Here is a 10,740-nt window from a genome sequence, read left to right as displayed (position 1 = left end):
GAATCTGGTTTCCAGAATTACTATGTTATTAGATTCAAATGTCTAGTTTTCAACCAAAAAAAAAAAAAATCATTAAGGCATACAAAGAAACGCCAAAGTACAGCCCCAGCTTGTGCGACCCCCTTCCTGCCCATGGGCCACATGCGGCCCAGGATGGCTTTGAATGTGGCCCAACACAAATTCATAAACTTTCTTAAAACATTTTGAGTTTTTTTTAGTGATTTATTATTTTTTAGCTCATTAACTATTGTTAGTGTTAGTATACTTTATGTGTGGCCCAAGACAATTCTTCTTCTTACAATGTGGCCCAGGGAAGCCAAAAGATTGGACACCCTTGGTATAGGCCATTCAAAGGGAAAAATAAACCAATAGCAAAAGTCTCTGAGAAAGACCAGATGAAAGAATTGCGAGACAAAGATTTTAAAACAACTGAAAGATGATCAAAGAACTGGTAGGGCACAGTGGCTCACGCCTGTAATCCCAGCACTTTGGAAGGCTGAGGCAGGTGGATGGCTTGAGCCCAGGAGTTCAAGACCAGACTGGGCAACAGAGTGAGGCTCCATCTCTGGGAAAAAAAAAAAAATTAGCCAGGCATGGTGGTACACACTTGCAGTCCCAGCTACTTGAGAGGATCACTTGGGACCAGGAGGTAGAGGCTGCAGTGAACTGTGATCATACCACTGCACTCCAGCCTGGATGACAAAGTGAGACTGTCTTAAAAAAAAGAAAGAAAAAGAAAAAGCTGGGTGCGGTGGCTCATACCTATAATCCTAGCACTTTGGGTGGCTGAGGCAGGTGGACTGCTTGAGCTCAAGAGTTCAAGACCAGCCTGGGCAAAGTGGCAAAACTCCATCTCTACGAAAATTAAAAAATTAGCTGGGCATGGTGGTGTGTGCTAGCTACTCGGGAGGCTGAGGTGGGAGGATTGCTTGAGCCCAGGAGACTGAGGCTGCAGTGAGCCATGATCATGCCACTGCACTCCAGCCTGGGTGACAGAGTGAGACCTTGTCTAAAAAAAAAAATAGAAAAAAGAAAAAGATGATGAAAGAATTAAAGAAAGACATGGAGCAAAATCAAGAAAACAATGTACAAACAATGTAAATATCAATAAAGAGATAGTAAACCTAAAAAGAAGCCAGAAAGAAATTCCATAAATAAAAAGTACAAAACTGAAATGAAAAATTCACTAGAGGGATTCAAAAGCCGATCTAAGCAGGCAGAAGAAAGAATACACGTATGAAGACCGGACAATTGAAACTGTCAAGTCCGACGAACAGAAAGAAAAAAGACTGAAGAAAAGTCAACAGGGCCTGGAGGACATGTGGGAAACCATCGAGTGGACCAACATAAGCACTACAGGGGCCCCAGAGGAAGAAAAAGAGAAAGAGGCAGAAAGATTATTCGAAAAAATAATGGCTGAAAACTCCCCAAGTTTGATGAAAAACATGAATGTAAAAGTCCAAGAGGCTAAATGAACTCCAACTAGGATGTACTCAGAACTCGGAGATCCACACTATAATTAAATACCGTGCAGTCAAAGACAAAGATAATCTTAAAAGCAGCAAGGGAGAAGCAACTCACACATGCAGGAGATTCTCGATAAGATTATCAGCAGATATCTCATCAGAAACTGTGGAGGCCAGAGGGCAGTGTCCCAGTGTATTCAAAGTGCTTAAAGAAAAAAAACTGTCAACTAAGAAATCCTTTGGCCAAAAGTAAGGGAGAAGTGAAGACATTCCCAGACAAACAAAAGCCAGGGAGTTTGATACCACTAGACCTACCATCCAAGAAATGCTAACAGGAGTCCTGCAGGGTTGAAATGAAAGGACACTGACAGTAACCTGAAGCTGTGTGAAGAAATAGAGATCTCAGCGAAGGTAAATATTATGATTGCAACGACAATGTGCAATTCCACTTTTTGTTTTCTACATGATTTAAGAAACTAATACATTCAAAGAAAACTAGTAGTCTATAAAATCCAGTATTATTTTAACTTTGATTTGTAATCTCATATTTTGCTTTCTATATTATTTAATAGATTAATGCATAAAAATAATTATGTTTTTGGAAACACAACGTATAAAAACCTAATTTCATAACTTCAGTAACTGAAAGAAGATGGAGATGGAGCTCTACAGAAGCGAGTTTTTGTAGGTTATCAAAGTTAAGCTGGTATAAATTACACACTGGAGTGATATGTTAGAATGCTAAACGTAATCCCCATGGTTATCGCAATGAAAATAGCTACACAATATACACAACAGGAAATGAGCAGGGCATTACATTTCACTTCAAAAAACCAACTAAACACAAAAGATGACAGTAATGCAGCAAATGAGGGAAAAAAAAATCTTTATGGCACATAGAAAACAAATAGCAAAATGCCACAAGTAAGTCCTTCTTTACCAGTAATTACTTTAAATGTAAATGGGCTAAATTCTCCAATCAAAAGACAGAGATTGACTGAACCGATTTTGAAAGGCACTATTCAGATATATGCTGCCTACTCACTTTAGATCTAGATACAGATAGGTTGAAAGTGAAAGGATGTAAAAAGTTACTACATGCAGATAGTAACCAAGAGAGTAGGTACGTCTGTAAGTCAGTCACACCAAGACAAATAATGTATGATTCCACTCATATGAGGTGTGCAGAGTAGTCAAATTCATATGGCTCTTGCCTGTAATCCCAGCACTTTGAGAGGCTGAGGCGGGCAGATTACTTGAGGTCAGGAGTTTGAGACCAGCCTGGCCAACATGGGGAAACCCCATTTCTACAAAAATTAGCTGGGCATGGTGGTGTGCGCCTGCAATCCCACCTACTCTGGAGGCTGAGGCAGGAGAATCACTTGAACCTGGGAGGCAGAGGTTGCAGTGAGCCAAGATCACACCACTGCACTCCAGCGTGGGCAAGAGAGCAAAACTTTGTCTCAAAAAAAAAGAAAAAAGAGAAAGTAGACCAGTGGTTGCAAAGGGTTGGGAGAAGGAGGAATGGGGAAGTTATTGTTAAATGGGTACAGAGTTTCAGTTTTGCAAAATGAAGAGAGTTCTGGAGATGGATGGTGGTGATGGTTGCATAATGTGAAAATATTTAATATTCTTGAATTATATACTTAAAAATAGTTCAGAAGGTAAATTCCATGTTATGTGTATTATACCACAATAAAAATGTTAGTTTTTAAAAAGAGGGGGTAGTAGGATTTCATTGTCTTGCTTACTTCATAAGCCTTAATATCATACTTTAACACCTAACTTTACTCTCTTTTTTAAAAATATTTTTACACACACACACACACGAATTATTTGTCTTTTTTGAGACTGGCTGGAATGCACTGGCGAGATCATAGCTCACTGTAGCCTCAATTTCCCAGGCTCAAGCAATCCTCCTGCCTCAACCTCCTGAGTAGTTGGGACTATAGGTGCACGCCACCACACCTGGCTAATTGTTTTGATTTTTATTAGAGATGAGGTTTGGCTATGCTGCCCAGCGTGGTCTCCAACTCCTGATCCTCTCACCTTGGCCTCCCAAAGTGCTGGGATTACAGACGTGAGCCACTGGACTAGGCCTACTTGTTATTAACTTGACTCTTCAACCTCCCATATCTTGATACTTGCGGGAATAAAGATCTCACTACTAGTACAACCATCACTACCATTACCACAGCTGCCACCAACACTGGTTGGGACCATTGGTAAATCAAAGCTTTACTGTTCAGGCTATTCACAAATAATCTCATTGAGAAGAACTCATAACAGCAAAAAGACACTTAAGTCCCATTAAAGTTTCTGCTTAGTATGAATACTACCTCTGGTGTGAATCTTACATCTTTTTTTAACTCTTTTCAAACAATGCAGACATATTTGAAATACATAACAAATGACCTATCAAATGCAGTCAATCACACATCAAAGCAGGTGTTTTTACTCTTTATCGTACCCTAACATTCCAACTGGTAGAAGAAAAAACCACCTGGAGGCAAAAAGACCTGTATTCAAAACCCAATGAACTGCATGGCCTTGTATTAATTATTTCACATGTGTATAACCTGCTTGTTGCTTATTGGTAAAGAGGGAATAATAACACCTACCATAGAGGTAAACTGTGAGGATTAAAGTTTTTAGTGGGATCATGCAAGAACACGACCTATATTAAAAGCACTACCTGGCCAAAATACATGAGTATATGACAGCCATTATTACTGTGCTTACTTGAATGTCGATTTCTTGAGTGACAGTCTGGCTTTGAATCCAATTATACACCTTAGCCAGCTCCTCCTTTTGCCCATGAGAAAACTGGGGCTGCTGCTGCCTCATACTTTCTAGCTTTTCCAGGTCTTCTTTTAGTACAACTTCTTTAACCCTGAAAACAAACAAACAGAATCTTAATAGTCCTGAATAAGACACAGGGTTCTTTTCCCGTCATCTAGGAATAGCACTTCTTCTTGGTTGGTAATACACCTTACATTTTCTAACACATGAGGCATACATTAAAAAAATAACTAGATCATTTCCTTTTCAAGTTGGTAAAGGCTTTTTTCTTGGTGGAAAATATCTATATGATGTTTTAATGAGGTGTATGGAAGAAAGAGATTTCCCTTAGCTCTTTTTAGAAGGGGCAAAAAAATCAAGAGTCTAAAACAAAAAGTTCTTGTACTTGTGTGCCATCTTGGAAAGCACAGACTTTGTTTCTTTGTCTCATGATGTGTAAGATCTGTTTAGTCTGGATCTGAATAGAGGTAACATTACCACTGCCACCCTTATTTTAAGAAATCATTCATCACTTGACTTCAAATGAATAAATTTGAAGACACATTTCTCAAAGGGAATTTATAAAACATTCAATAATTATTTTGTCTTTAAAAACACATTAAGAAACCATAGGCCGGGTGCAGTGGCTCACGCCTGTAATCCCAGCACTTTGGGAGGCCGAGGTGGGCAGATCACCTGAGGCCAGGAGTTCAAGATCAACCTGGCCAACATGAGGAAATTCCATCTCTACTAAAAATACAAAAAACTAGCTTGGTGTGGTGGTGCATACCTGTAATCCCAACTACTTGGGAGGCTGAGGCAGGAGAATCTTGAACCTGGGAGGTGGAGGTTGTAGTGAGCCGAGATGGCACCACGGCACTCCAGCCTGGGCGACAGAGTGAGACTCTGTCACAAACAAACCCCGTCTCTACTAAAAATACAAAAATTAGACACGCATGGTGGTGCACATCTATAATTCCAGCTACTCGGGAGGCTGAGGCAGAAGAATCGCTTGAACCCAGGAGATGGAGGTTGCAGTGTGCTGAGATCGTGCCACTGCACTCCAGCCTGGGTGACAGGGCGAGACTCCGTCTCAAAAAAGAAAAAAAAGAAAAAAAGAAACCACAAAAATATAAAAAGTGGGTTTTCTAAAGTGCTTTCTTACCTCTCAGGTACCTGGTATGTCATGAGAATGCGCTCAGGTGTCTGCCGTATCATTCTCCAGATGGGCTCTTCGGCGACATTAGGAAATGTTTCTTTTTTCTGTACGTCCTGAGATTGCTGCCCATTTTGGGAGATTTTAGAAGAATAAACACTACTAGTAAGGTATATACTGCTGTCGCTGCTTCCTGTCAAAAATCAACAACACATAATTAGAAAAGACCTGTCCGACTGATTTGCCAAACTGGCTCTCATTCTTCAGACTCTTGCCTCGGACAGTCCTCCTCCTCAGCCAGCCCAACCATCATTTCCGGGAAACTTCCTCCTCCCTGTGGACAGCCTCCTGGTTCTTTGGTCTTCCTGAGATCTCTTTTTCCATTCCTAATGAGCTATCACTCTCAAGGCTACACACATTGTCCTTTATCATCACCCATAACCGCTCCATCTCCAAAATCATCAACATCTCAGCTTCACTCTCTCATGGGCTTGTTCAATTATTTCAACTATAAATGTGTTAATAACGTCTTAGTCTTCCTGTAGTGGAGTCCTCAGTTCATCATTCAGTAACACACCTTGCAATACCTTAGACTTCTTTTTCCCTCTGACTTTTCATAACTGTCAAAATGCCAACTCCAATAAAGCCAATTATTGACTTTGTTCTTACCTAAACCCAAGTCGCCAAATACATACAGAAAGTCACATATAACAGGGTACAGTGTTTCTACAATAAACGCATCATCACCAACCTCAAATGCACCATCAAAATACCTGGGAATCCTGCTACAGTTCTCTGGTCATGCACTAACCTACCCCCAGCAATGACTATTTTCAACCTCTCTATTTCCTGCCTCAATCTCACCTATTTTTTAAGGAAAAAAGAAGCCATCAGAAAGCAAATTAATCACCTTTATGATACCAAACATACACAATTAATGATATATGTACCCCCTCCTCACCTTCCTCCTGCCACAACACAGAAACTGTTCATCCCAAGGACCATCCCTTTATGGCTGATATGAAGCCTTATGGATCATTCCTTTCCTATCTTGCATTTGACCCTTCTAGAACCTTCTCACTGACTTTGAAGGAATTAAAAACACAAAACAAAACTATTTGTTTAATTTTTTTTAAAAAACTAAGTATGTAAATAAAAAAGTAATAAAAAAATTTTCCTCATTAAAAAATATCTTTAGGTTGGGCGTGGTGGCTCACACCTGTAATCCTGGCACTTTGGGAGGCCAAGATGAGAGGACTGCTTGAGGCCAGGAGTTTGAAACCAGCCTGGGCAACACAGTGAGGTAGGTTCCATCTCCATAAAAATAAAAAATTAGCTGAGTGTGGTGGTACATGCCTGTAGTCCTAGCTACTCAGGAGGCTAAGGTTGGAGGATTGCTTGAGCCCAGGAGTTTGAGGCTACAGTGAGCTATGATTGCATCAGTGCACTCTAGCCTGGGTAACAGAGTGACACCTTGTGTCAAAACAACAACAACAACAACAAAACACTCACACAAAACAACTTTAAGAGGTTGTTACTGTTTAAAGCAAAAATAATAACAATGTTATTGTGGGTTTTTTTACACGTTAAAATGTATGACAAAAATAGCACAAAAGACAAAGGGGACATGGAAGTACTCCGTCTTAAGGTTCTAATATATAAAGTGATACAATAGGCATAATATTTGAAGGTAAACTGTGATAAGTAAAAGATGTGCATTGTACAACCTAGAGCAGGCTGGGCGTGGTGGCTCACACCTGTAATGCCAGCACTTTGGGAGGCCAAGGCGGGCGGATCGCCTGAGGTCAGGAGTTTGAGTTCAGTCTGGCTGACATGGTGAAACTCCGTCTATACTAAAAATACAAAAAATTAGGCGTGGTGGTGCACGCCTGTAGTACCAGCTACTTGGGAGGTAGAGGCAGGAGAATTGCTTGAACCTAGGAGGTGGAGGGTGCAGTGAGCCAAGATGGCACCACTGCACTCCAGCCTGGGTGACAGAGTGAGACTCAGTCTCAAAGAAAAAAATAAGATAAAATAAAAATAAATAAAAAGTTAATCCTAGAGCAAAAACAAAAAAAAAGTTATGCTTAGAAGCCAATACACAATTAACCCGAAAGGAGGAGGGTAGGAGGAAAAAAAGAAAGGGCAGATGAGACAAACAGAAAATTAGTAGCAAGATGAAAGATTTAACTTAAACCTAACCATATCAATATTCACATTAAATGTAAATAATCTAAGCAAGCATTGCAGTTAAAAGGCTGAGACTGTCACATGAATAAAAAGCAATACCCAACTATATGGTGGTTACGAGAAACTTACTTTAAATATAAAGACACAGATAAGTTGAAAGTAAAAAGATGAAAAAAATTTACCATGTAAACACTAACCAAATAAAGCTGGACTGGATACACTGATATCAGACAAAGCAGACTTCAAAGCAAGACATATTTCAGGATAAAGAGAGCAATTCATCAAGAGGATATAATAATCTCAAGTGTATATGCACCTAATAAAAGAGCTTCAAAATACATGAAGCAAAAACTCACTGCACTATAAGAAAAAATAGAGAAATTCACATTTATAGCTGGACATATAAACCATATCATAATAACTTATAAAACAGATAGAAAATCAGTTAGAAAAGGTTGGATCAACATTATCAACCAACTTGATCTAATTTACATTTACAGAACACATGACTCAACAACAGCAGAAAGCATATTCTTTTCAAATGCACATGAAACATTTATCATGATGGACCAAATTCCAGATCATTACACAATGTCTTGGTAAATTTAAAAAATACAAAAGAATGTTCTCTGACTGCATTTAAATTAGAAATAAAATAAAAATATCTAAAAAAAATCTCCAAATATTAGGAAATTAAGCCTTTCTAAAACAACCAAAAGATCAAAGAAGAAAATACAAGTGAAATTAGAAATATTTTAGACTGGCCAGGTACACTGGCATATGCCTGCAGTTCCAGCTACTCAGGAAGCTGAGGCCAGAGGATTGTTGAACCCAGAAGTTTGAGGGTGCAGTGAGCTGGGATCATGCCACTGCACTCCAGCCTGGGCAACAGAGTGAGACCTTGGTTCCAAAAAAAAAAAAAAAAAATTTGAGGGATGCAATGGTTAGAGCATTCAATAGCATTAAATGTTTATATTGGGGGGGAAAAATCTCAATTCAAAGATCTAACAAGTAAGCTTCTACCTTAAGAAATAAGAAAAAAAAAATAAAATCCAAAGTAAAGAGAAAAGAAGTAATAAAAATTAGAGCATAGGCTGGACACGGTGGATGATGCTTGTAATCCCAGCAATTTGGAAGGCCAAGGCGGGCGAATCATGAGATCAGGAGTTCAAGACCAGCCTGGCCAACATGGTGAAACCCCGTCTCTACTAAAAATACAAAAAATCAACTGGGTGTGGTGGCGGGCACCCGTAATCCCAGCTACTCGGGAGGCTAAGGCAGGAGAATCGCTTGATCCTGGGAGGTGGAGGTTGCAGTAAGCCAATATCGTGCCACTGCACTCCAGCCCAGGTGACAGTGCCAGACTCTGTCCCAGGGAAAAAAAAAAAAAAAAAAAAAGAGCATAAATCAATAAAATAAAAAACCAAAAAACAATAGGAAAAAAAACCCCAATGAGATCCAAAGTTCTTTGAAAAGTTATTAAAATTGATAAACATACAGTCAGATTGATCAGGAAAAATATTAATACCAGCAATAAGAGGGGTACATTACTATAAAACCTACAGACATTAAAAGGAAAAGGGAATATTAAAAACTTTATGCCAATATATTCAACAAATTAGATAAAATAGATACATTTCTTGAAAGATACAAATTACCAAAGATCACTAAGAAACTGATAACCTGATTAGACCCATATATATTAAAATATTTAAATTTGTTGTTAAAATCCTCCTCACCAAGAAAACTCCAGGCCCAGAAAGATTCACTGGTAAAGTCTACCAAACTTACAAAGAAAAAATAATATCAGTTCAACACAAACTCTTCCAGAAAACAGAATAGCAAAGAATAGTTCCTAGCTCATTTTTTGAGGCCAGAATTACTCTGATACCAAAACCAGACAAAGACATTACAAGTAAAGAAAGTAAATGGACCAATATTCTGCACAGAGATGCAATAATGCGTAACAAAATATTAGGAAGATAATCCAACAACATATAAAAAAGGATAAAAGAGCATGACCAAATGCAAGGTTAATTTATTATCAGAAAACTGATGTAATTCACCATATTAATAGAATAAGGGAGGAAAACCACATGATTATCTCAACAGACGCAGAAAGGGCAACTCAGTGGAGCAGCAATAGAAGTGAACTTCCTCAATCTGATAAGGGCATTCAAGGAAAACTTATACTTAACATCGTACTTAATGGTGAAACACTGACTGCTTTCCCCTTAAGACTGTGAACCAGGCAAGTGTCTATTTTCCTATTTCTATTAAACACTTCACTGTGGGTCCTAGCCAGTTCAATGAGGCAAGACAAATAAATAAAGACATACAGACGGAAAAAAAGAAGTAAAATTATATTTGCAGATAATAAAGACTATGTAGAAAAGTCCTGCAGAATCTAAAAAGAGCTACTAAAACTAATCAATGAGTTTAGCAAGACTGCAAAATACAAGTTAAAAATACACAATTTGATTAAATTTCTATATGCTAACAACAAACAATTGCAAATTGAAAATTTAAAATGCCATTTTCAGTAGCATCAACAATTATAAAATCCTTAGAGATAAATTTAGCAAAATATATGTAAGGGTTGTAGGCTGAAAACTATAAAACCCTGCTGAGAAGAATTAAAGACCTACATAGAAAAATCGTACTTGTGGATCAAAACACTCAATATCATCAGGAAGATAATTATTCACGTATTGATCATCTATAGATTCAACACAATTTCATTCCAAACACCACGAGACTTTTTTGTAGAAACTGAGAAATGGAGTCTATAATTTATATGGACAAAGGACCTAGAATATTCAAAATCATTTTGAAAAGAAGAATTAAGTTGAAGGACTTACTTCACCACGCTTCAAGACTTACTTGAAAGTTACATTACTTAAGAGTGTGGTATTGGCCTAAAGCTAGCCATACAGATCAGTGGAACAGAAAAGAGAGTCCAGAAATACACCCACACGTGTATGGTCAAGTTATTTTCAACAAAGGCATCACGGCAATTTAACGGGGGAAAGATTAATCCTTTGAACAAACGGCAGGAACAGTTAGATATCCCAATGTAAAGAAAGTATATTGACCCTTCCTCATACCATACACAAAACTCAAAATGGATCACAGATCTAAGCTATA

The 10,740-nt window shown here is 38.4% G+C and overlaps 1 protein-coding gene across 47 annotated transcripts in view; it reads right to left on the bottom strand.

Annotated features, from left to right (window-relative positions):
• PER3 (period circadian regulator 3) overlaps positions 1-10,740 on the bottom strand; it is a 60,887-nt gene that overhangs the window by 3,820 nt on the left and 46,327 nt on the right. For all 47 annotated transcript variants that reach the window (XM_047433449.1, XM_047433435.1, XM_047433457.1 and 44 more), the window contains 2 exons: positions 5,413-5,596; positions 4,209-4,359 (listed from right to left, as the gene is read on the bottom strand). In XM_047433449.1, the coding sequence (XP_047289405.1) occupies positions 4,209-4,359; positions 5,413-5,596 (335 nt within the window). The remainder of the gene's footprint in view (positions 1-4,208; positions 4,360-5,412; positions 5,597-10,740) is intronic.

The sequence above is a fragment of the Homo sapiens genome, chromosome 1 (assembly GCF_000001405.40).
Source record: "Homo sapiens chromosome 1, GRCh38.p14 Primary Assembly".
Lineage (NCBI taxonomy): Eukaryota > Metazoa > Chordata > Mammalia > Primates > Hominidae > Homo > Homo sapiens.
The sequence above is the reverse complement of the archived record's forward strand: the minus strand, read 5'-3'. Positions and strand labels throughout refer to the sequence as shown.